The sequence below is a fragment of the Homo sapiens genome, chromosome 17 (assembly GCF_000001405.40).
Source record: "Homo sapiens chromosome 17, GRCh38.p14 Primary Assembly".
Taxonomy (NCBI): domain Eukaryota; kingdom Metazoa; phylum Chordata; class Mammalia; order Primates; family Hominidae; genus Homo; species Homo sapiens.
Genome location: NC_000017.11, coordinates 72850135 through 72877311, shown reverse-complemented (window position 1 = coordinate 72877311; position 27177 = coordinate 72850135). Strand labels below are relative to the sequence as shown.

General features: G+C 43.7%; 1 protein-coding gene across 35 annotated transcripts in view, besides 1 other annotated feature; it reads left to right on the top strand.

Annotated features, from left to right (window-relative positions):
• The window catches only part of SLC39A11 (solute carrier family 39 member 11), a 446740-nt gene that overhangs the window by 215377 nt on the left and 204186 nt on the right, over nt 1-27177 (top strand). The window lies entirely within an intron of this gene.
• Nucleotides 17968-18262: a silencer, noted in NCBI's record as "tiled region #3335; HepG2 Repressive DNase matched - State 9:DNaseU". NCBI's record gives its function as "represses a minimal TATA promoter and a strong SV40 promoter by Sharpr-MPRA in HepG2 cells {active_cell/tissue: HepG2}" and the evidence as "EXISTENCE:reporter gene assay evidence [ECO:0000049][PMID:27701403]".

Sequence of the window (27177 nt, the reverse complement as noted above, 5' to 3'; positions counted from 1 at the left end):
GAAGCAAAGAGAGGTGAGAGAGAAAGGCAGTTAGATTGGAAAGACAGGAACATTTGATCACAAAGCCTTTTCTGGCATTTTCCCTCCAAAGCACACACCTAACACACACCATCATTTTTTATAACTTGAGGCTTACAATGATCTAAAGAAAAGGGAGTGTATGTGTGTGTGTTGGTGCCCTTCTTTATAGAGATGATGATTCTTTTGGCTCTTTTGATAAGATGATGCTTAATTAGATTTTATCTAACCCAGGTGGGACACTAACCTACATTATGCATTTTTTCTTAGCCTACCTTGTAGCCAAGGACCTGCATTTGCTGGGTGCCTGGCTAGGGCCTGGGAGCTTATTTTGTGGTTGTGGGCACAGGGAAATTGGAGTGGTTTCTGTAGGCTCTAAGTGTTACTGAAACCAGGGGTTTGGTCTAGGTCTTGTTGCTTGCTGCACAGAAAGCCAATCACTGAAACAGTGGGTACTGCCAGGAAAGGCCTTAATCAGGTGTTGCAGCTGAGGAGATAGGAGGTCAGTCTCAAATCCTTCTCTTCAACTGACTAAAATTAGGGGGTTTATATAGCAGGGAAGAAATGGAACCATGTGTGGGGAAACAGGAATTAGGGAGGAGTAGAGGAGTTGGTCAATAGGAAGCACATGATCAGTTAGGTGATCATGACAGGTGAGGGGTTTCATTGTCCAGATGCAGTGATTGGTAAGTTTCAGCTCCATGATACTATCTAGGCACTAGGTGGTTGGTTTTCTGAGAAAGGAACTCAGATAAGACGAATGTAACTTTCTCAAGTTTTAAGGCTGGGAGGGTCCATTTCTGTGTTTATTCAAAAGAAACCATAAATATCAGTTTCATGCAACAATTAGGCCTGTTTCATAAGTTCCTGTGATTGTGATCTTGCTAGCACTATGTTCTAACAAGCAGAGACAAACTTTTGGAACTTAACAACATGCTTCCTTGGCTTCTTTGTACTTGACTTTGGCTTTGGGGCCAGGGGATATGAAGCATTTGACCATTGCCCATTTCTCCCCTAAGTATTCTACAATAGCTCTTTATTTTTTATTTGACCACCATAATCCAATTTCTGTTTCCACCCATTGATCTTGATGGAGGCTTTTGGGCATGGCAGAGCATGGTTATGTCCCAAAATCACAAGAAGGAAACATTCCAGGTTTAACTTTGACACTCCCATGACTGGTCCCACAGAGCAGGGCTACCCTATAAGGCAGTGTGACAAGAGTAGCAGCTCAGGGCAGTTTTGCAGTTATATTTATAACCTACTTTTAATTACATTTAGATTAAGGGGCATTATATACAGAAAATCCTAGGAAAAGGGTGGCAGCTTTTGGGTCATTGGGTCATTGCCATGGAAAGGGGTGGTAGCTCCAGGATGTTGCCATGGCAGTGTTAAGCTGATATGGCACACTGGGTGGACATGTCTAATAGAAAGCTGCTTCCACCCTGCCCCTGTTTTAGCTAGTCCTCAGTTTGGTCCCGTGACTGAGCCTCGCCTTTGGAATCAAGTCCCACCTCCTTCCTCAGAAGGAGGGTCTGACACAGTAAGCATTGAAAGTGCTCTAAGGGAAAAGAAAGAAATAGATTAGAAAAGAAACAATGACTCCGAATTAGATCATCGTTAATAAGTAAATGCATGCGAACTGGGAAATCAACCAGAGCCACATGAATGTAGGATGACAGACACACGCATAAACATGCACAGCCATGGGTGCCTTTGTGGGAGATGAGGAAGGGAAGGGTGGACAGATTGTTGGAGCATTTGGCATCAGTGGGTTTGAATAGCTTTTCCATAAAACTCTGTCTCACTTTGCAAATTAGCTGGACAACCTCAGGGGGTTCCAGAATCCCGCTGGCTTCCTGGGAAGTCCTCAGGTAGGTAACAGCTGTGTTCAGAAAGGTGGCTGTCACCCTGGCCATTATGAAAGCTTCATCTTTCTCCATTGGCAGTTCTTGGGGACATGAAAAATGCTCCACTCTGCCTCGGTATAATTAAACTTTGGGCTGAAGTTTTACCCTTAGCCTTGCTGGCAAATTCAATAATGATGAATTAATTGGAATATTTACAGTGTTAATGTGAACAAGATTTAAAATAATATACACAGCTCACTTCCTTACATTTCTTGTGACTTCCTCCCCTTTGAAAATGTTATTTCTGCATCTAATTGCACCAGTTTTTTCTTCCCAAAATAACCCTGTCTCCTCTTTTTCTCTCTTTGCTGTGATTTACTCCCTGTGTTTCTCTCGTGCTGTGTTTGAGATATATTTGCCCATCTGAGTGTTTTTGGTTCTGGTCTCTCCCTCCTTTCCCCCAGTTTATTCAACCTGCAGCCACTGTAATATTCTTTAGCTTCATTTGGGGTACAAAATGTATTCCACTCAGTTTTCAGTGGGAAAGAACGAGGAATGACTGGGTCCCAAACTCTACAATCTTTGTCTTATTTCCTTTGTCCACAGTTGGGTTGGAGGCCCTGGCTGTGCTTTCTTCTTAGAGCGGGACAGGGGAATGGGCTTTTGCTGGCTATGGCCAATACAGACAAAACCCAACATTGCTACCACTTCCTCCTCTCCATCAAGGATACTTCTGCTCATTTTTCAGGGCTCGCTCTTTCCTCTCAGGGTGTTCCCTGATGATTTCTTTGGAAGCAAGGTTTTGAAGGTGACAGGAGACAGGAACCTGCATTTTCTTTCTGGACCGATAACTTCAGGCTCCTATACCAGGCTGTTCACCTGCAAAATGGGAGAAGATTATAGGACCTTGAATTACCAGCAGCGGGGTTTTCCCCTCCCTCCTGGTGTCAGCTTTGCTCAGCATCCCTGCGACAGCCTTGCAGATGGACGCCTCAGCTTCTTGTCCACAGAGCATCCATCCTAGCTGAGGATGGAGCTTTCCCACAAAATCATGAGAGGGAACTGCATGTCCGGGGTGGGAGAGAAGGAACAGAGACAGTTCTACATCGGGCAGGAAACCCAGAGTGGACTCTGGATTTTCTCTTTGCTTTGGAGCAAAAATCATTTATGCTCACCAGTCCCAGGTGATTACTTTCCCTTGGCAAACATTTAAGTGATCATTTCTTACCTTGTCTCCTATTATACTGTCAACCATTAAGACTTTATTGCAACTGTGGTTTTGTCTTCATCAAGGAAGGGTGCCTGTGGTTGGAAGGGAGTATATTAGTCGGTTCTCACGCTGATATTAAAGACATACCCAAGACTGGGTAGTTTATAAAGGAAAGAGGTTTAATGGCCTCACAGTTCAGCGTGCCTGGGGAGGCCTCAGGAAGCTTACAGTCATGGTGGAAGGCACCTCTTCACAGGCAGCACAAGAAAGAGTGAGAGCTGAGCAAGTGGGGGGAGCCCCTTATAAAACCATCAGATCTTGTGAGAAGGAATCACGAGAATAGCATGGGGGAAACTGCCCCCATGATTCAGTTATCTCCACCTGGTCCCACCCTTGACACATGGGGATTATTACAATTCAAAGTGAGATTTGTTGTGGGGGTGGGGACACAGAGCCAAACCGTTTCTGGGAGCGAAACCCAGTTCAGACCAGCTAAAGGAGGAAGGCAGAATATATTCCAAGGAAACAATCCAAGGGCAGTGTGCTAAGTTGAGTCTCATGGGGTGCTAGAGTCAGGGGGTGGGAAATTGAGGGCACGTGTTCACATATTCTCCTTTGCCTCCCACCAGGGTCTCTTTTTTCTGTTTTCCATCAGCTCTCTTCATTCTGCAAACCTGCTTTCTTAGTGCAGTTGACTGATGCCCAGAAAAGCCAAACACTTAATGGCAAGAGTTGCAGAAGAGAAAGAGTTTGATAATTATAGGGCCAGCCAAGTTGGAAGGATGGGAGATGTATCTCAAGTCCTCCTCCTCACATATTTGGAGGCTAGAGTTTTTCAAGGGTAGTTTAGCAGGCAGAGGGCTAGGAAATGGATAAGGTGATTAGTTGGCTCAGGGATGAAATCACAGAGGGTTGAAGCTATCTTCTTGTGCAGAATCAATTTCTGGGTAGAGGTCACAGGACCCAGCTGAGTCAGTTTCTTGGTATAGGTTTCCCATCCAGGTGGTGCCAGCCGGTCCATCAGAACGTGAGGTCTGAAAAACACCTCAAATACCAGTCTTAGGTTTTATAATAGCGATGTTAAGAATAGGAGCAACTGGGGAGGTTATAGATCTTGTAACCTCCAGCTATATGAGTCCTGAACCATAATTCTTTTTTTTTTTCTTTTTTTTTTTTTTTGAGATGGAGTCTTGCCCCTGTCGCCCAGGCTAGAGTGCAGTGGCGCGATCTCGGCTCACTGCAAGCTCCGCCTCCCGGGTTCACGCCATTCTCCTGACTCAGCCTCCGAGTAGCTGGGACTACAGGTGCCCGCCACCACGCCCGGCTAATTTTTTGTATTTTAGTAGAGACAGGGTTTCGCCATGTTAGCCAGGGTGGTCTCGATCTCCTGACCTTGTGATCCACCTGCCTCAGCCTCCCAAAGTGCTGGGATTACAGGCATGAGCCACTGCACCCGCCCCTGAACCATAATTCTAACCTGGTGGCCAATTGGTTAGTTTTACAAAGACAGTTTCAGTCCCCACAACGGAGGGGGTGGTTAGTTTTGGCAAGGGACTGTTATCATCTTTGTTTTAAAGTTACACTAGAAACTAACTTCCTCCTGTAGCTAGCTTGGCCTATGTCCAGGGATGACAGCTTATGAGGTTAGAAGCAAGATGGATCAGCTATGTAAGATTTCTATCACTGTCATAATTTTCGCAAAGGCAGTTTCATCAGCTTTTCGGTGCCATAGCCAGTTAGGAGCTACGCCACTGCCCCCACGTTGTTACATCCTTATTTCGAGAGACCAGTTGAGTCTGAGAATCTGGCAGAGTTGGGTGGGTTGTACCCGTCTGTCGAATCTGAGAATCTGGCAGAGTTGGGTGGTTTGTACCCATCTGGCCCTGATGACCTTCCAACGCCCCTGGGGATCAGAGTGGAGCTCAGCTGTATCCTAGGGTTTCCCATGTGTGAGGATGTGGATGCGCTGTGGGTGGCAAGCTAGGGACACACCCCAGAGGGTCTGTAAATCCAGGGATGTGGGTCTTGGCTTCCAACTCCCTCCACTCCTGGGACTTTGCTGGGTTGGAATCACCTGCCCTCCCCAGGCACTGGGACAGGAGCAGACACCATCATAGACATTACTCTCTTTACCTCTTGTATAGGAAAAATCATTGCCTTTATACTATCACTCAACACAGAACGTTTCTGTGACCAAATGTGTGCAGTGTTCCTACACCAAGCAATTCTCCAGTTTTGTAAGGACACCAGCTGAGTGTCCTACAATTGAATTCAATTCTGCCACTGTGTACCTGGAGACAGCAACAGGTCCCACAGATGAAGGGCTACATCCCACAAGATTGCCCCCACTTCAAACAACAATTACAGATCCAGGCTCTCACCCATCCAACTGGAGGGTAAATCAGAGGTCCCCACAACCCCCTCCTCAAGTTTGATCATTTGCTAGTATGGTTTATAGGACTCAGGAAAACAATTTACTTACAGGTAATCAATTTATTATAAAAGGACCCAACTCAGGAACAGCCAGGTAGAAGAGACACACAGGACAAGGCCTGGGGGATGGGGCACATGTCACCCTTCCAGCACCCCACATGTCCAGCCACCAGGAAACTCTCTGAACCCCGTCCTTCTGGGGTTTTATGGATGGGTCATTATGCAGGCATGATGGATTAAATCATTGGCCAATGGTGATCAACTCAACCTGTAGGCCCTCTCCTCCTCCCCAGAGGCCAGGTTTGGGTGTGGGGCCCAAATTCAACTCTCTAATCTCATGATTGTTTCCCCTGGCAAACAGCGCCCCCCATCCTTAAGGGCTTTCCAAAAGGCACCGCACACATGTAAACTTAGGTGTGATTGAAAGGGGCTTGTTATAGGCCGGGTGCAGTGGCTCATGCCTATAATCCTAGCACTTTGGGAGGCTGAGGTGGGTGGATTGCCTGAGCTCAGGAGTTCAAGACAAGCCTGGGCATATAGTAAAACCCTGTCTCTACTAAGATACAAAAAAATTAGCCGGGCATTGTGGCACATGCCTGAAGTCCCAGCTACTCGGGAGGCTGAGGCAGGAGAATCACTTGAACTTGGGAGGCGGAAGACGCAGTGAGCCTGGATTGCACCACTGCACTCCAGCTGGGGCAACAGAGAGACTCTGTCTCAGAAAAACCAAAAAAAAAAAAAAAACAAAAACAAAACAAACAAACAAAAAAAACCAAAAACCAGAAAAGGGCTTGTTATGAATAACAAAAGACTCTCCTTTATTCCTTTATTGTTCCTATCACTTAGGAAATGTACAAGGATTTTAAGAGCTCTGTGTCAGGAATCAAGATGAAGACCAAAATATGTAATTCTTATTCTATCACAGTATCATACCTCTCCACCTGCAGATCTCTGACTGATGGCCCTTAACATTGCGGCAGCCAGGGAAGAGGGGATTGCCAAAGATAATTAGATGAAGGATAACATAGGCTCATTAGCAGGCAAACCTTTTCCAGTTAAAAGATAAGTAAGACTGCAAAAGGATGCTTGAGGCAAATCCGTAGCAACATTATCTTGGAGCTACTTACCAATTGGCCACAAATCTGCAGGAGAGCGTGGCCTGTAGAGGAATGGGGAGAGGGGTCTCTGCATCTGGAGAGCATCTGGGGCTGTATGAGACCAACACCAGGTCTTGGCTGCTTGCTTTGCTTTGGCAATGACCTAAGATTGAAAATGGATGAGTGGCAATTTGGGAGTCTAGCGAAGATGCTTTGCAAATGAACACATTGCCGCAGGGCACCCGTTTTCAGCAGTGAAGCCAGGAATAATTTTCTATCTCATGCTACCTAACTCCTGGAAGTTATCATGAGACCCTTGCAGGTGGATAAACACAGTCTGGAGAGGAATATTTCTCCATTTGTATTGGGACAGCATACCTAAATCTGGGATGTTCAGAGATAATCTGGGCCTCTGCTTGTTAGGGAGAGGAAGAGGACATTCCCAAGACCTTAGCATGGATTGGCATAGAAACCAGAGAGTTCCACATGCATACACCTGTCTCAGATCAGGGTTTCTCAGTGTGGTCTGCTGACCTCGCACATTAGACTCACCTTAAGCACTGATTAAAAATGGGATTCCTTCCCTGCCTTGAGCCTAGTTAAATGAATGAGGTAGTTTTTAAAAATGCAGATGTAGAAAAATCTACAGGTTATGCTAAACAAAAAAAAAAGAAGAAGAAGAAAAAAAAAGCAAGCTGCAAAACTGGATACGATCTAATTCCTTTGGGGTAGAAATGTTGAGAAGGACATATGCCCTGGTATTATAATATTTTTTTTCTAGAAGAATACATTAAAATCTGTGACCAGTTATTTGTGGGAAGAAATACTTGGGGGTAGGGGAGAGACAGTTCTGGTTTTTATTTCAGCTTTTTCTGTTCTATTTGCATTTTAAACACGAACATGTGTTACTTTCGTGCTTTCAAATGTCAGCAGGGATTATCCGGGCATGGGGATTACATGCCAGTTTCTTTTCTCTATGTGCTTTTTGTATTATGAAAATCAATTTTTAAAAATTCACTGGGCGTGGTGGCTCATGTCTGTAATCCCAGCACTTTGGGAGGCCGAGGAGGCCGAGGTGGGTGGATCACCTGAGGTCAGGAGTTTGAAACCAGCCTGGCCAACATGGTCTCTACTAAAAATACAAAAATTAGCTGGGCATGGTGGCGGGTGCCTGTAGTCCCAGCTACTTGGGAGGCTGAGACAGGAGAATTGCTTGAACCCGGGAGGCAGAGGTTGCAGTGAGCCAAGACCACACCATGGCACTCCAGCCTAGGCAACAAGAGCGAAACTCCATCTCAAAAATAAATAAAAATCCATCAATCAATAAAAATGCATTTCCCACTTATTCGTAGTACCAGATTCTCTGGGGAAGGAGACCATGCTTCCGTATTTAACATGCACAAGGTTTGAGAAGCTGACTCTGTCCCAGATGCTTCCAGATGGACACCTTGTCAAAAGCTGGGGCCTCCTCAGTCAGCAGATGTTCTCTGGGCTTCTTGTTACTTTCACTGGTGCCACTTGGGAAGGACAACATGGGGGGCTCGTTTATTTGGGGATGTCCATTTCAAAGGCTCATGCCTGAGCCTTATTCCCAGAAGAACCTCTGACTTCCTTTCAGAGATCAGCTGGAGAAAGCTCTCTCTTTTAAAGATCTCATGGGATTAGGTCAGGCCTACCTGGCTAACCTCCCTGTCTTAAAGTCAGCTGAGCTGAGTTTCGCAGCAGTGAAATTCATCCTATCCATGGGGATTATGCAAAGTGTGTACTCTAGGCAGGGAGAGAGGCAAATGTTGGGTGCCATCTTTAGAGTTCTGTCTATCCGTGGAACTCTAAAGCGAACATTTCTACATTTTTACCATTCATATAATACTTACTGAAGATTTTTTTTTTGTTTTTGAGACAGGGTTTCATTCTGTCACCCAGGTTGGAGTGCAGTGGTGGGATCATGGCTCACTGCAGCCTTGCCTTCTGGGCTCAAACTATCCTCCCACCTCAGCCTCCCAAGTAGCTGGGCCTGTGGCATGTGCCACCCCACCTGGCTAATTTTTTCTTTCTTTTTTTTTTTTTTTTTTTTTTTTTTTTTTTGTAGAGACAGGGGCTCACTATATTGCCGAGGCTGGTCTTGAACTACTGGTCTCAAGCCATCCTCCTGACTTAGCCTCTCAAAGTACCAGGATTATAGGTGTGAGCCTCTGTGCCCAGCCTTACTGAAGATTTTCCGTAGACACATTTTTGATAGATGCTATTATCCTTTTTATTTCTAGCAGTTGGCATCTATGTTCTTAAGTTAGCATGGCCTAAAACTTATTTCTTATGTTACATTCCTCTGGTTTGAATATTGTTGCTTTTATTATTTTTTCCCTCTGAATATTAAGGTTAAAGTTATACCAACCTCATCCAGATCATGCAGAGTTGGGGAGTTTTACTTATTTTTCTTTCTCTCCTCATTTTTCTATTTATTCTCTGGAATAGTTAGCATGGGATGGGGATTATTTGTTCCTCTATAACAAGACGGTCTTTACCAATGTTAAAAGTTAAATTTAGGCACATAAAAACTTTCAAGAGTTTATTTGAGCAGCGAACGATTCATGAATTGGCCAGTATTAAACCACAAGTGATCAGGGCTTTGCCCAGGGTGTGTGAGTAGGAAAACTTCTATAAGGTGTTCCAGGAAGCAAGACTAAGAAAATATCTGATTGGTTAAAGTGGAAAATCCCTAGTTAGAGGTTAGTTGGCAGTTTCTGATTGGCTAAGCTTCAATTTTGTTTTACCATTTACAGTGAGTTGGGTTTTGGTTTGCTTATGTAGGATCCCAAGGCACTAGGGTCATCTCAGCCTAATAGTGTTTCAATTAATTTTTTTAACACTATTAATACCATCTGGGTCTAGTGTGTTTGTGCATAGGTGTGTGTGCGTGTGTGTGTGTGTGTGTGTGTGTGTGTGCGCGCGCACTTCATTCAACACACCAGGGGCTGTCTTGAGGAACAGCCCTTTCTTGTGTGTGGGTATGGCCTGGCTCAAGATTTATACTCCTTCCTCGTATTTTATTTACCATGCATTTTCTTTTTCCTTTTTTAGTACTTCAGTGGATTGATTGATTTTTATTTTCCTCTTTTTATCCCCCTTACGCTTTATTAATTTGGAAGTTTTCAATTCAGTATCTTGTCTGTGTCTCCCTTTCCTTTATTTGTTTGTTTGTTTATTGAGATGGAGGCTCACGCAGTCGCCCAGGCTGGAGTACAGTGGCGCGATCTCAGCTCACCGCAACCTCCGCCTCCTGGGTTCAAGCAATTCTCCTGCCTCAGCCTCCCGAGTAGCTGGGATTACAGGTGCATGCCACCATGCTCGGCTGATTTTTGTATTTTTATTAGAGACGGGGTTTCACCATGTTGTCCAGGCTGGCCTCGAACTCCTGACCCCAAGTGAGCTGCCTGCCTTGGCCTCCTAAAGTGCTGGGATTACAGGTGTGAGCCACCACTCCTGGCTTCCTTTTACTTTCTTTAAACTTGCCTAGTTGACCTAATAACGGTGTTTAAAATTAATCTGCATCTCTCCCCTCCTCCCTACCAATCAGAGGACCTTAGAATGCTTTAATGTTACTACTTTTCCAGTATTTTAGTATCTCCCTTTGTTTGATACCTCCCAAATGAGTTGCTAGTATTGTTATTGTTTTTGTTCGTTTGTATTTTACAATCAATGGTTGCTTCCATTTTCCAACATTTTTGCTAATATCTTTGCTCACCATTGCTTCTTGTGTGAAATTGATTGCCTTTGATTTCTCTTATAATATCTCTTCACTTAGAATCTATGGGGGATTTTAGGATCTGTGAGGGGCTTTAGTTAGTTAGCTAAATAAAGTATTTAGCTCTGACTTTTGAAAGAAAAATCAAATTGCATTTAAATGTGTAGGTTAATAGAAATGTCCATTTCCTTTGGCACTTATTATTCTAATTAGTTGGCATTCATCCATCTGAAGATTTGTGCTTTGCATTGCATTCTCTGTAAGCATTATAAAAATGCACACAGCAGCAGCTTCATTTCAAGTTTTTGTCTTTCTCTCTGGTTGTGTATACATTTTTTTTCATTTGTCTTTAGTGGTTTTCAGTTTCAGTATGATGTGATTGTGTGTGTGTTTGTATGTGTGTCTATGTATTATTTATCTTAAGATTTGGTATACTACTTTAAAGTGAACACTTGTCTCGTGGAAAACAATTTTTTCAAAGACCTGGGGGTTGTGGGGGATGGTTCTGGGATGATTCACACACATTACATTTATTGTGTACTTTATTTCTATTATTGCATTGTAATAGATAATGAAATAATTATACAACTCACCTAACCTAGAATCAGTGGGAGCCCCGAGCTTGTTTTCCTGCAACTAAATGGTCCCATCTGGGGGTAATGGGAGGCAGTGACAGATCATCAGGCATTAGATTCTCATAAGGAGCATGCAACCTAGATCCCTCACATATGCAGTTCACAATATGGTTCGTGGTCCTGTGGGAATCTGATGCCACTGGTGATCTGACGGGAGGTGGAGCTTAGGTGGTAACGTGAACGATGGGGAGCGGCTGTCAATACAGATGAAGCTTCAACTGCTTGCCTGCCGCTCACCCCCTGCTGTGCAGCCTGGTTCCTAACAGGCCATGGACGGATACTGGTTCATGACCCAGGTATTGGGGACCCCTGCTTTAAACTGTTCTTGATATTGTCCATCTCTTCCTCTCTCTGATTTAGATTTATCCTCCAGCTCATTGGTTAGTCATTGAGCCAATATCCGACTATCTAATTTGTCTGTTGAGTTTTCAATAGAAATGACTGTGGATTTTATTTTGTAGTTGTTCGAGTGGGTTCGTCTGTTTTTTCTTGGTTGTATGTGGTTATTTTGGTTTTAATTTCTTCTTTTAGGTCTTGAATAAGGTTAGGCTGTTTTATATTGTTTTAAAAAAGAGCTATTACACAAAGGTTCTGCTTCTCTCTGTCGGTGGTGCCTGCTGACTCTCATGCATGGAGTGCTGATTTCTCTTAGACCTTTCAGCTTTTTAACGTCAGTCCTTCTCTGGTGGCTGCATTTTTCCTTGAGGGTCTTCAGCGTCCTGGATCATGGGAGCGTATTTTTTTTTAGAGTAGGTTTGCATTTGTTTCTGTAACATCCTTTGAGAGCCTCGTTACCCTGGAACCAGCTTTTATGTTGATGTTTATGGTGGGGTTTTTCTAGCCAATGTAGAAAGTAGAAACTCATACCCTGACCTTTGCAAGGTGTAGGCCCAAAGTTGTTTTTTTTTTTTTTTTCGAGCAGTTTTTTTCTTCAGAGACCACATAGAAACATATGAGCATCCTTTTTGTCTCTCTCTGTTGGTGCATAATTTTTTCCCCCTATTTCACCTGTCTGCATAGGGGCAGAATTCCATGAATCTTGCATTTGTAAAATTTCAGCCCCTGGTGTGTGTGTTCCAGGGCCTCCCCTTTACCTCCATGTGGACAGTAACACCCAGGCCCCTGTTCCTGGGACCCATATTCACCCCAAGGCAACCTCTGAACTGGTTTTGGTGTTTAAGGCTCCGGTTTCTAGTTTCTCATCATTAATGATTTCCTTCCTTTGTTGCAAACTTGTACCTGCATTTAAAACATTTTTTTGTTGTTGCTGTTCATCTCACCCATCATTTCTAGGTGTTTGTAGAGGGAGATTTTGGTTTATCTTTATCCTTCATCTTGCTGGAATCAGATAGATGGCTAGTCAAAATTTAAATTTGCAAAACAGCCATGCTTTCATCTTTACTCCCTAGCTGGGTCCTTCGTGTTCTGGGCTCGGCCAGGGAACAGCCTTTCTTCTGCATCATGTCCTGGAGCTTCTTGTATCTTTTTCAAGACTTATAACTTGACATTTCCACAAATTCCACAATAAGATGAAAATACAAACAAATGTTCACAATCACCCAGACTGACAGGGAGCAGCGGGTTAGGACTTCTGTTGGGCTCTTAGGCAGGGAGGGAATTTTTTAGTGGGAGGACTAATTTTATAAGTGGTGAGTTCATCAGTGAATATTTTTGGATTACGAGCATGTTTATTTTCCTGTTCCACCTTGCAGAATGGAGAAATAGTGGCTAGGATCGACCCCAAGACACGTTTTCCATGTGTATCTATGGTGTTCAGAATCGTTATGTTAGGGGACTCACGACTGCAGTAACAGGGGACCCCGGTTAACCCTTTCACAGCCCATGGCTTATTTGGTGAGGCCATTAGATGTCCACCTTTAGCTGGGCTCAGCCTGTCCTATGAAGGACAGATCTGCAGGTAAAGCCCAAATCGGTTGGTCTGCATTTCTCACAGGGTGGATCTGGCTCTAGACAAGATCAGAATTCCCCGGGTTGCTAGGAAAAAAAAAAAAAAAAAGCCGATGCTTATATTCTGTCTCTGATTTGCCTAAACCAACTATCTGGTGGATGAGGCCAGGAAATCTGCATTTTATGCATTTTGTCCATATATGCATAGGCAAGGAATATGCATTTTAAATCTCCAGGTAATTCGTAGTCATAGTGTGAGAAAAGGTGGCCCCGGTGAGGTGGTGATGGCAAAGCCAATGCAGTCTTAAGAATCCTTTGGGCAAACAATTTCTTTTGAGATGGATTGGCAGTGAACAGAGAGAACCTAGGCGTCTTGGGTTGCTTTTTGCTTGAGTATGGTGAGAGGAGAGGGTTCAGTCTCAGTGGTTTATACAGTGACTCAACTTTAGAGATGTTTTATGGGTTTTCCCCTGTTTTTCTGTTTTGGTGGCAGAGAGGGATGGTTAAAGTCATTTGGTGACGTGAATGGAAAGGGGAAAAAGGAGGCAGGAGAAAATCTAATTGAGCATTAACTTCCTTGAGCTTCGTATTAAGACATTGCCTGGATTTCAATTAAGTAAAGCACCTTCTTTCCCATCCCTGGTTGCTCGTGCGTTGCCATGGCAGCAGGCACGCTGCAATCTGTAGCCCACCCCTACCACCTGCCTCTGGCATGGGCGATTCTACAAGGCTTACTGAGCCAGGACCTGACTGTCTGCAGACTCTGGTCTGCAGTGGCAAAATAAGGGACAGATGTCAGTGAGGAGGTCAGAACTTGCCACTTGAGGTGGTTTATGGGGTAGACTCTAATATTAAACTTCAAGAAAACGTGACAGGCGGCTGTGTCTGGGTGGGATATTGGGTTCCTGCTCACATACTTTGGACTGGATTTGGGAGCCTTATGAGTAGAACCATCACAGGTTATTCCACACTCACTCTCCCAGTGTCTAGGGTCTGAGTCCCTCCTTGGGTTTCCCTTGGGTCCTCCGAGAACAGAGTTTGTCAGAGTGAGTTGCATATGCTGACACTTGCTCTTGTGTTGCTCCTGGCTTGGTAAATGGGGGAGATTATGGAATCTGTCATCCTAAAAGAGATTCCAAGAAGAGGAACATGTTCTTGGCAAAAGGTAATTTGCTTCGTTTGGGGCAAGGTGTGTAAAATGAGAGTATAATGCCCAAGTGAAGATCCCCACTAAACAGTTAGCAAGAGGTCCGGGCTCTTGGGAGCCCAGCTTAGGAGTTTATTTTTAATGGGTTTCCTTTGTGTTTTCCCCTAGATCTATCTTCCTCCTCTGAATTAAGTTACCTGGAGTAGCAGTCAGACCTGCAGACTCCCAAGCCCTGCCTGGGTCTACTGTGGAGTCCAAGAATCTGCACTTTGCTCAAGCTCCCCAAGTGCTTTTGTGGGGTTTTCTTGTCGTTTGTTTTGTGTTTTGTTTTTGCATGCTCAAGCTCAAGAACCACTGTAAAATATCGTTAACTTGGGCTGGGCTCAGTTCCAGTCTTCTACCATACAGCTACTCACAGTCTGCTCCCGCATGCACATGTGGCCTCAGCTTCCCACCTTTCTTTGTGTAATAGGAGCCACAGGGTTGAATTGAGGATAATTGCCTCTTCATCTTCCAGCCCTGTGGTCCTTTTTTTTTAACCTTAGTGGGCAGTACTCATCTGAACACTAGGACAATCTGTATTTCTCAAACCTTCATTTTTCAGCAAGACATGTCTGCCCGTAGCTGAAATGGAAAGAAAACAAAGCTCTCAGCAGCCACCTTGCTCCTTCTCAAAACCTTTGCTGAATGGCATTTGTTTTCCATTAGGAACTAAGCCATTCTTTGTGTGTCCCTGTGGTCCTTGTCTAAGTAGGAACAGGATGGGAAAGGATGCTCCCAGCCTGGCAAACGTTTCTGCTCTGCTCCATTAATTCTTAGGGTTCACCAAGCAGGGTCCATTCTTGAACATCAGGGCAGCCTCCTTTGTCCTCATATTGATTTCACTAAGTCCCATGCTGTTTGATTTCTGATTTATTTTTTTCCTCCTGTCTCAGAACCAACGTTTTTCTTGGCTCTGTTAGCTCCACGCAACCTCAGGTCAGCCTTTGTCTGTCAGCCTCCCTTCTGACCCAACACTTCCATCTCAGAAAGCAGAGGCTTCAAGAATTTAGCCTCCCTGCACTGGGAGTCTGTGTGGAACCTTAAGTCTCTTGGGCATCTTGGCATAGCACTAATTGGATTCATTAAAAGAAGACAGCCATCTTTTGAAAAGGCAATGGCCCCTGACTCAATAAAAAAATGGCAGAGAAAGAGATGTATTTCCCTTGCTAGGAGCTGCATTTGAATGGGTTGATTCATGGTTTTGGTTTTTGTTTTTTTCAGGAACCAGTTTTCCTCCTGACCATTTCCTTTATTATCATTCATTTCATATGGACAAATCCATGGACCACAGAGTGGTGCTTGTTCTTCCTGGCAATTAGCTGTCTCATGCTATTTCATTAAGTTTCAATGTCTCAAGTGAATTTCTAAAAGTCATATATATATACAATTTTTGAACAAAAATCAGCCTGAAAATAGAAATATAATGGCTTAATGAAATAGCATTGGATATATATATATATATATATATATATATATATATATATATATAATCTCCAATGTGTGTATATATATATCCTATATATATCCAATATATATATTTTATATATATATATATATATATATATATATATAATGTGTTGTATATAGATGGTGCATGTATTTACCCATGTATCTGTGTGTATATATCTTATCCATCTGTCTGTCTGTCAATCTGTCTATCAAGCATAGTCTGCTCTGGATAACCAGCCAGCCAGCATGCTTTAAGGATGCTAGCGACCTACTTTATTCCCATCTTCCTGGCTGCAACATTTTTTAGGAAGTGCAAACTTGTGTCAGTGTTAGCCTAAGTAAACGACATGAGAGGAGTGCATCCACTATTTAAAAATAAAAAACACAAAGTGACTTCATATTCCAAAGCAGTGTAGACTATCTTGAAGGGCAGCAGTCCCCTCCTTTTATTGATGGAAAATCTCTATTATCTTTAGCAGTGGGTGATCCTTTCTGAAGGTTGAAAATGTCAGCGTGAACATGGAATTTTAAAAAGTGTTGCTATTATAGCCAAGGCATGCTTTCACTCTGCTGACATGGAGAATTGGCATTTGATGGTATTTGAAAATTCTGCACCAAATCTTATCATAATCTAATTTTTTTCTCCTCCACCATGGGCCTCTTGCCCTTTTGGATTTAAGTTAAAATGGATTAGGTGTACTAGATGACATTACTCTTTCTTTTATATTTTTATAAGTGCAATACTAGTTCGTGGCAGAAACTAGAGAATGTGGTTTGTGTTGTACGTGTTATGTGCTAGATGGGTCCTATACCTACTCTCATCCACTCTCCACAACAATCCTGTAGAGTGGGTAATACTATTACCCTCGTTTGGCAAGTGCATAAACTGAGGCGCAGAGGGTATCAATGAGCATCCCCAAAGATGCATAACCAGGAAATGGTCGCCCTGATGCATGAACATGTATGGGCAGAAAAACAGCTGCTTTACAGTGAGTGAATGCAGTTGGCCCAGGTTCTCAGTCCCCCAGAATCATTGTTCCTGCTTTCTTTGCAATGACACCGATAGTCCTCCTTGTCAATACCTCAGAGAAAAAGGAAAAGAGAGAATCCTGAAGAAGTAAGAAAAGAGGAACGTGCACCAAGCCTGGTACGGGTTTTTCGCTTGTCTCCCTGAGCTGTGCCTGCTGGGAGGACTGGTTGCCTTTGTCCAGCATGCCAGCAACTTAGGTTGTCCCCACCTGTGCCCCCACCTGCCTGCACCTACCATCCTTTGATTTGATTGACAATCCCCAGGAGAGGAACTGGAGGAAATGACAGACTCATAAACTGTGCCCAACTTTTAATCTGCATGTGGGCACATACATGTGTATATTCTGTCTCGCACACATACACACACAGAATGAACATTCAGAAGAGATGAGTAAGGGGAAACTTCTGGGACTCACAGCAATTGTGGCTTTCTACCCTGGTACTCCTGGTGAGGGAAATGGTGGATCCCATGTCTGAATCACTTTTGCTGATCCTGTGAATGGGAAGATGGTGGCGAGACTAGCAAACTAGCAGGAAGCAAACATGATCTGCCAAGGGCACCCATCGTTGTGCAGGACTACTCTGTCATAGTGCTGCCTGTGGGTTTTTCTTTCCATGCTCCACTACCCACCTTCAACTCAAACCTTGGCAAAAGTTTGCCACGATCCCATTTGATTTGTGTTCTCTTTCTTTTCTTTCTTTCCTTCCTCCCCTCCCCTCCCCTCCCCTCCCCTCCCCTCTCCTCGTCTAGTCTCTTTTCTTTCTTGATGGAGTCTCACTCTGTCGCCCAGGCTGGAGTGCAGTGGTGCGATCTCTGCTCACTGCAAGCTCCACCTCCCAGGTTCATGCCATTCTCCTGCCTCAGCCTCCCAAGAAGCTGGGACTATAGGCGTGTGCCACCATGCCTGGCTAAGTTTTTGTAGCTTTAGTAGAGACAGGGTTTCACCGTGTTAGCCAGGATGGTCTCGATCTCCTGACCTTGTGATCCGCCAGCCTTGGCCCATAATAAATATTTTAGTTATCTTTCTATGAAGTTTTCTTGGTCTCCAGTGGAATCTTCTCCTGCCCTGGGCTACACGTGGCCCATGTAGCACATCCTGCATAGATTTTACATGGAGATGAATATGTGGCTGCTCTCAGGGTAGAGTGCAGTCAGCTTGCTCAACTCCATAGAACCTGGTCCCTAAATTGGGTCTGTGGAGCAGGAAGTCCTGGTCTCCCTTGTCCCTGCCTGGGTTCCCAAGCGGGATCTGCAGCTCCAAGAGGAGAAGTGCCCCTTGAGCCCCTCAGGGGCTCAAGTAGAGTTGTCAGTTCAAATACAGGTTACCTTGCTACATTTGAACTTCAAATAAACAATGAACACCTTGTTGCATAAGTAGATCCCATGCAATATGTGGGAATACTTACACTAAAACAATCTTGGTTTTATCTGAAATTTAAACATAACTGGGCATCCTGTCTTTACTTGCTAAATCTGGCAACCCTAGCAAGGAGCCTGTCCACAATAGGTGCTTTGTATTTGTGTGCACTGATTACAAAACTCCTGTGTTGTTTACAAGAATTCCCAAGCTATGAGGGAAAGAAGATTAGAGAAGCTCTTGTACATCCTCTTCTTTTGAAAAGAGTGATGCTTGTCATGCTGAATGGGGAAAAGGTGGAAGCAATTCCCTTGGAAACCAGAGCAAGACAAGGCTGCCCTCTGTCACCACTCCTATTCAACATAGTAATGGAAGTCCTGGCCTAAGCAATCAGTCAAGAGAAAGAAATACAGGGCATCCAAATAGGAAGACAGGAAATCAAACTATTCCTGTTTGCATATGGCATGATTCTATATCTAGAAAACTGTATAGTCTTGGCCTAAAAGCTTCTTTAGCTGATAAACAACTTAGGCAAAGTGTCAGAATACACAAAGTGTCAGTATACAAAATCACTGTACAAAAATCACTAGTATTTCTATATGCCAACAATAGCCAAGCTGAGAACCAAACCAGGAACGCAATACCATTCACAATTGACCCCAGAAGAATACAATACCTAGGAATACAGCTAACCAGGGAGGTGAAGGATCTCTACAAGGAGAATTACAAAACACTGCTCAAAGAAATCAGAGATGATACAAACAAATGGAAAAACATTCTATGCTTATGGAGATAGGAAGAATCGATAGTATTAAAATGCCTATACTGCCACAAAGCAATTTACAGATTCAATGCTATTCCTATCAAACTACCAATGACATTCTTCACAGACTAGAAAAAACTATTTTAAAATTCATGTGAAACCAAAAAGGAGGCCAAATAGCCAAAACAATCCTAAGCAAAAAGAACAAAGCTGAAGGCATCACATTTCCGAACTTCAAACTATACCATAGGACTACAGTAACCAAAACAGCATGGTACTGGTATAAAAACAGACACATAGACTAATGGAACAGAATAGAAAACCCATATATAAGGCTGAACATCTACAACCATCTGATCTTCGACAAAGCTGACAAAAATAAGCAATTGGGAAAGGACTTCCTATTCAATAAGTAGTGCTTAGATAACTGGCTAGCCATATATATAGAAATTAAACTGGATCCCTTCCTTACACCATATACAAAAATCAACTCAAGATGGATTCAAGACTTAAGTCTAAAACCCAAAACTATAAAAACCCTGGTAGACAACCTAGGAAATACCATTCTGGACATAGGAACAGGGAAAGATTTCATGGTAAAGATCCCAAAAGCAATTGCAACAAAAGTGAAAATTGACATATGGGATCTAATTAAACTTAAGAGCTTCTACACAGCAAAAGAAACTATCAACAGAGTAAACAGACAACCTACAGAATGGGAGAAAATTTTTGCAAACTATGCATCTGACAGATATAATATCCAGCATCTGTAAGGAGCTTAAACACATTACAGGAAAGAAACAACCCCATTAAAGAGTGAGCAGAGGACACGAACACTTTTCGAAAGAAGACATAGATGTGGCCAACAAGCATATGAAAAAAATCTCAACACCACTGATCATTAGAGAAATGCAAATCAAAACCACAATGAGATACCATCTCACACCAGTCAGAATGGCTATTATTAAAAAGTCAAAGAATAACAGATGCTGATGAGGTTGCAGAGAAAAGGAAATGTATACATTGTTGGTGGGAGTGTAAATTAGTTCAACCGTTGTTGAACTAAAGCACTGTGGCAGTTCCTCAAAGTGCTAAGAACAGAACTACTGTTCAACCCAGCAATCCCATTACTGGGTTTATACCCAAAGGAATAGAAAGCATTCCACCATAAAGACACATGCACATCAATGTTCATTGCAGCACTATTCACAATGGCAAGGACATGGAATCAACCTAAATGCCTATCAGTGACAGGTTGGATAAAGAAAATATGGTACATATATACCATGGAATACTATGCATCCATAAAAAAAATGAGATCATGTCTTTTTTGGGAACACAGATGGAGTTGGAGGCTATTATCCTTAGCAAACTAATGCAGGAACAGAAAACCAAATGCCAGTTGTTCTCACTTACAAGTGGAAGTTAAATGATGAGAACTTGTGGACACAGAGAAGGGAACAACAGACACTAGAGCCTGCTTGAGGGTGGAGGGTGGGAGGAGGGAGAGGATCAGAAAAAGTAACTATTGGGTACTAGGCTTAGTACCTAGGTGACAAAATAATTTGTACAACAAACCCCCGTGACATGAGTTTACCTGTATAACAAACCTGCACATGTAGCCCTGAACCTAAAGTGAAAGTTTTTTAAAAAAGAATGTGGTGGCTTACGCCTGTAATCCCAGCACTTTGGGAGGCCAAGGCAGGTGGATCACCTGAGGTCAGGAGTTCAAGACCAGCCTGGCCAACATGGTGAAACCCCATCTCTACTAAAAATACAAAAATTAGCCGGGTGGGGTGGTGCATGTCTGTAGTCCCAGCTACTCTGGAGGCCGAAGCAGGAGAACTGCTTGAACCTGGGAGGCGGGTGTTACAGTGAACCGAGATTGCGCCACTGCATTCCAGCCTGGGTGACAGAGCAAGAATCTATCTCAAAAAAGAAAAAAAAAAAGTTTTAATATTGAAAGAGACAATTGCCTGAGAAAATTAGCTTTCAGGATCATACTACATAGTTCCATAAGGAAAGCAGGTAATACTTTTTTTTAAAGCCCTATAATGTCTTGAGGAATCTCAAAAAGGAATTTTAAAATTTGAGGCTAAAACTCCAACTTGGCCAAGTGGATACGTCTGTCTGATGTATAATAATACCTGCTACTCCCAGCTAGGTCTCATTGACAAACCTAAGCGGATCACAGGAAAATTACCAGTGTCTGTAAATAATTAGCTAATCATATTACTGTTATTTAAAGAGGCCTCATTTGGGCAGCAGGCATCTTTCAAAAGAGGAAAGAAATATGCCTGAAATTGAAAAATGTTCCACCTCACTTGTAGTCAAAGAAATACCCATTAAGAGAAATGTCATTTGCCCCATAAATAAATATACTTATTTCAAGATGAGAAATACCAGGGCTAAGAAGCGGCATAATGAGAACTTGCAAACTCTGTTCATGGGTAAGTGACACAGCCTTCCTGGAAATTTATTAGGGAATTGTATCATGGCCCTTTGATCAACAGTTCAACTTCTGGGAACTTTGTCCAATTTCTGATTGTTTATATACATTAAAGGTTTTACAGTGATATTTATAAGAAAAAAAGTCTAGAAATAGCCAAAAGTTCCCATCATATGAGAATGTAAATAATAATTTGTGTTACCTGAAACTAGACTGATTCTTTGGGAAACAAGAAGGCAGGGACAATATAAGTTGATCCCCTTCTATTCTGCTTTTTTTTTTTTTGAGACGGATTCTCGCTTTGTCGCCCAGGCTGGAGTGCAGTGGCGCCATCTTGGCTCACTGCAAGCTCCGCCTCCCGGGTTCACGCCATTCTCCTGCCTCAGCCTCCCAAGTAGCTAGGACTACAGGTGCCCGCCACCACGCCTGGCTAATTTTTTGTATTTTTTAGTAGAGACGGGGTTTCACTGTGTTAGCCAGGATGGTCTCGATCTTCTGACCTTGTGATCTGCCCACCTCGGCCTCCCAAAGTGCTGTGATTACAGGCGTGAGCCACCGCACCCGGCCTCTATTCTGCTTTTGATTGGCCTTTGGTTTTGTTTGTGTATACATACTACTTAATGAATATATGTTGCTGGCCACTCTTCATTTTGTTTTGTAACAGGGGTTTAGAAAGAGTTTTTCCAGGGATTTGATGCTTTCTGCACTTAACAGATGACGATTTGCCATTTGTGCTAATCCAACCAAATCATCTCCAATAATACCATGGGAATGTTGTTAAAGCTCTCTTGGCTAGTGTTCTGTTAATTAGCATTGCCATATTCATCGGGGGCCTGCAATTCCATCATTGGGCCCATTAGATTTAGCCGGTTACACCATCTCAGGGACCACATACATTCTGTGTTGCTGGTGTGATTGGGCCCGTGGGCTATGAAAACGGAGGTTAACTTGGCATTTATCTAGCAAGATGTTCTCAGTCTGACGTTCTTGAATCCATAAGGACCCGACAATTATTTCAAAATGGTCTGTGTATTTTTTGCTGGATTGTAACTTTCGCCGTACTTTCAAAGGCGGTTGCTGATCCAAAATGGTTTGGGGCCATTCACTAGAGGACTTCAGAGACTTCCACTCTGCAGGGAGGAAGCCAGACCTTGAAGGGCAGGGGCTTACCTGGGCAGCAGGGTTTGCTGATGGCCCCTGGGCTTGTGCCCGCAAGACCCGTGTCTGCTTTTCTCCATCCTATGATGTTTTGTGGCCACAATCATGTCCTTTGTTTTGGGGAAGAGGAAATCAGGGAAGCGGATGCATCAGAAAAGATCACCTGGTGATTCCGTGGGAAAAGTGAGCCTGGGACTTTTCTGTCTGTTTTATTGTCGTCCTCACCCTTTCATGTAGCACTGTGGTTCTTTTCCAGGAAAGATGGAGTGGGAAGGATGAGAGGCTGAGCCCTGGCAGTGGGTCCTTTCTTTGTGTGAATTCTTAGATGCTCAATTATAAGTTAAAAAACAAAATTTTAATGATGGGCAACTTTTTTTTCCTAACAACAAAGAATCTTCATTCTCCTTCCCAAAAGAAGTATAAGCCTGTGTTGTGGGCTTAGCATGGGTAAATATTTTCTGCTTGCAATTACTTTATGCTTAGAAATAGTAGGTCTAATGGGTTAACACATACTACTATCATGAAATGTTTCAGGTTTGTCTGCAAGTAAGAATGATTATAGATACGAGATTTCTCCTGAGTCTTTCCCCACTCTGGTCACAGGCAATGAGAGCTCACCAGACTCTCCTTCTCACGGCAGCAACTGCTCCCACTACCTTTTTTGGCAAGCAATGAGCAGTTCAGCCTTTTCTCCACCCCCACCCCACCCCCCACTTCATCCCCAGTCAACCATGAGGCCCTAGTTAAAAGAGGGGCTCCTGGAGGCAAAGATGCTGAGTCGACTCCTGAGTCCACTGCAGACTGGCTGTGTGACCTGGGACCAGTTACTCTGCCTCTCTGTTCTTCAATTTACTCATTCGTTAAAGGGGATTAATCTCTACTTCATGGGGCTTTTGTAAGGATTGAGGACTCATTGAAGATAAGTTCCCAATATTACCTATTAACCAGTGTCTCTGATGTTGTTTTGCTTCTGAGTTTGACATTGACTATTTCATCCCTAAATGAAATAGTCCCCCCTCTACTCCTCCTTCCCAAACTCCACTTCAAAAGTGCCCAAACCTTTCCAATTTCAAGAAACCTCACGAGGTTCTTGTCACTCTGGCACACCCTCACATCCCACAAGGTGCTTGGCAATTGCCTCCGCTAACTGATCATCCTTTTCCCACGCACTAGCATTTTACTTGATGGGTGTGATGGTTGAACTAGCCTTACCAGGAGCGGCAAGAAGATTCATTGCTCACGACGCATCATACTCTGTAATGATTTATTTGGACTAATCTTCCTTGTTGCAGACTCATTAGTGGCTGTCACCAAATGGTGGCTTATTTAACTTTCACAAGGACGTGAGGCATTCACACCCTCCTGTTTCCTACTAGGGAAGGCACTGACGTCAGTTTTCACACATTGGAAGCCTGGGGCCAGGCGTGCATTTTTATTTTGGTGAAGAATTCTTTATGCTCCTTGATGTTCCTATAAAACACAAGCAGAACGCTAGAATTTGCTCGTGGTGCGTCCGAGGTCTGTTGCTCTCTGTGCGGTATCTGCAGGAGATTCAGAGTAGGATCCTTTTGTGACATTGGCAAAAACAAGCGCAACTGTCGGTGATTGTTAGAGTGTGTGTTTAGCCCCTTAGATTTGAGGGAATTTGTGTGTGTCTTCTCTGTCTGCCCTCTCTTAAATTATAAAATCCCCAAGGGGCAAGGTGCAGTGGCTCATACCTATAATCCTAGCACTTTTGGAGGCCAAGGCAGGTGGATCGCTTGAGTCCAGGAATTCAAGACCAGACTGGTCAATGCAGCAAAACCCTGTCTCTACTGAAAAAAAAAAAAAAAAATACAAAAGTTAGCTGGCCATGGTGGCGTGCACCTATAGTTCCAGCTACTTGGGAGGCCGAGGTGGGAGGATTGCTTGAGCCTGGGAGGTGGAGGCTGCAGTGAGCTGAGATTGTGCCACTGCACTCTAGCCTGGGCAACAGAGTGGGACCCTGCTTAATCAATCAATCAATCAATCAATCAAAAGTCTGCAAGAGAAGAGATTTTTCTTTTGGCCCCTATCAACTCTCACTGGAGAGCATCTAGTGCAGGCCTGTATGCTCAGACCAGGCACAGGAAATCAGGAATGTTTGCTGACTGATCTAGGAGAAAGCTGAGGACCCTCCACCATGACCCAGGTTAGTTCATGGACAGCTCTCAGGGACTGCTTTGCTTATGTCTTTAGCATTTGTGAGCTTGAAATCCCAGATGTTTAGTTCAGTTTCTCAACCAGCATCTGCAGCCTGAGTCATCTACATATTGTCTACTCAAAATGTATAAAACCCCTTCCCCCAATGTGTGCACAGAAGTGCACACATGTGCATACATACACGAAGGTGATCTAATATCTCAGGATGGTACTGAGTAGCAGTTGTATGCACCCACACGCACATACACATGCACACATGCACACACACACGTACATGCATACACATGGTGTGGATACCACACAATGAGTGTGGAGCTTCGCCTTGTGTAAATACTGTCTGGGAGGAGTTGCTATCCAATTGAGACAGCTGAATTCTCCACAGGCTGGTTATGTGAGTCAGGGCTACTGACCAGTGGAGGACTGGCATCCTTGCGTTGTGGAGGACCAAAGACCCCCCTTTTCCTAATGGAACTGAGATTCAGCTGTTAGTAAGAGAGAAATGATTGGGAGCTGGGGAGGAGTGAGTCTACCTGCCCTGTACTTTCTTACTTTTCAATCTGTACTTGTAGGATTTGAGCAAATAAATACAAAATGATTTTCTTTCTTTCTTTCTGTTTTTTTTTTTTTTTTTTTTTTTTGAGACGGAGTCTTGCTCTGTTGCCCAGGCTGGAGTGCAGCCGCGGGATCTCGGGTCACTGCAAGCTCCGCCTCCTGGGTTCAAGCCATTCTCCTGCCTCACTCAGCCTCCCGAATAGCTGGGACTACAGGCGCCTGCCACCACGCCCAGTTAATTTTTGTATTTTTAGTAGAGATAGGGTTTCACCGTGTTAGCCAGGATGGTCTCAATCTCCTGACCTCATGATCCGCCTGCCTCGGCCTCCCAAAGTGCTGGGATTACAGGTGTGAGCTACTGCGCCTGGCCACAAAATGATTTTCAAAAGAAGTTTTTTTCTTCTAATGTTTTTAAATTTATTTAAGCATTAAAGGCTTCGTGAATTAGGCAGCATTCAAAACTAGAAGACATTCAGAGAGCTCCGTGTTTTTTGAAATTCAAGCAGGAAATAAAGTATAGAAATAGCTTAATTGGTTACAGTTAGGCATTTACCTTATTTGGACTTAGTCTGATCAGTTGGCTGCCTCTGGTTGGCTGAAGCTTGGCTGCCTGTGATTGGTTGAAGCTCAGCCGCTTGTGATTGACTGAGATCTAGCTATCCTATTACAAAAAATATATACTCCTAATGAGATTTTCATTTGTATACATACTAAGTTAGGTTGTAGTTCACTGCGAAGCAACTCAAAGTACAGCCTCAGACCAATGGCCTTTTGCTTATTTAATTTAACAGACACCTGAGTTATGCTTGCTGGGTTTTCTCTCCCAATAAAGGGACCCTTCATTCTGTCTGTGCCATCACGTGTTTAAGATTCACTCAAGACCTATCTCCTCTAGAAAGCCTTCCCCACAAATCCATCCCATGCTGTGAACTGAAAGCTGGATGCTCTCTCCCACTCTTGTCCTCCCAATTTCAAATCCACACAATTTGGCTCCATTATGAATAAACAAATAGCCCAGGGGACCATGGATATTTAGAATAAGGTTCTAAGAATGACATTCTTCCAATATAAGCCAATTTGTAAAGGCATTTTTAAAAGGAAGGTTTGCTCAGAAAACCCAAGGGCTGGGTGCTACGGATGGCCCATGAATGTCTGTGGCACGTGGGCTGCAGTTCTGCCCTTCTCTCTCCTGTCTAGCTGCATGGTTTCCCATCTCTGCTTGTTGATGTATATCTGATTCCTTCTGATTGTCTGTCCAGCCGCTTCCCTCGTTCCATTGTGGCAGAGCTGCTCGCGCATCACGTGATTTTTCAGATTTAGCTTGCACGTTGGAGTGGCCAATTCTCCCTGGAGAGGGATTCTGATTGGCTGAGCCAGGCGTCTGAATTGGTTCCCATAAATCAGTGTGACCAGGAGAGCAGGGTCACATATTATGTAATTCTGTACGGCTATGGGAGAGGGAACATGATACTAACAATAACCATCAATACAATCAGCACTTAGTACATTCTAAGTACTTTCAGACATTGTTGCATTTAATCCTCACAAAACGCTTGTGACATAGGTAATGCTATTATTCTAGTTTTACGAATCAGAAAACCACTGCACAGAGAGGTGAAACAACTTATTTGGCACTACACAGCTGGCCAGTGGCTGAGTCAGGAAGGGAAGCAGGCAGCATGGTTCTGGCATCTGTGTCTCTAATCATGACTCAACATTGCTTGTCTTAAACAGGCATTGCTAGGATACCACATCTTCATCTTTTTTATCCTTCTTGGTACCTATGCATTGGGCACTGAATGCCTGTTCAGTGATTTTTTTTTTCTTTTTCTTTTTTGAGACAGGGTCTTACTCTGTCACCCAGGCTGGAGGCCAATGGTGTGATCACAACTCACTGCAGCCTCAACTTCCCGGGCTCAAGCCATCCTCCCATCTCAGCCTCCCAAGTAGCTGGGACTGCAGGTGCATACCACCACGCCTAGCTAATTCTTTATTTTTATTTTTTGTAGAGATGGGATTGTGCCATGTTGCCCAGGCTGGTCTCGAACTCCTGGGCTCAAGCCATCTGCCTGCCTCAGCCTCCCGAAGTGTTGGGATTTCAGGCGTGAGTGACCATGCTCAGCCTAGTCAATGAATTGTTCGCTGAATGAATGGAT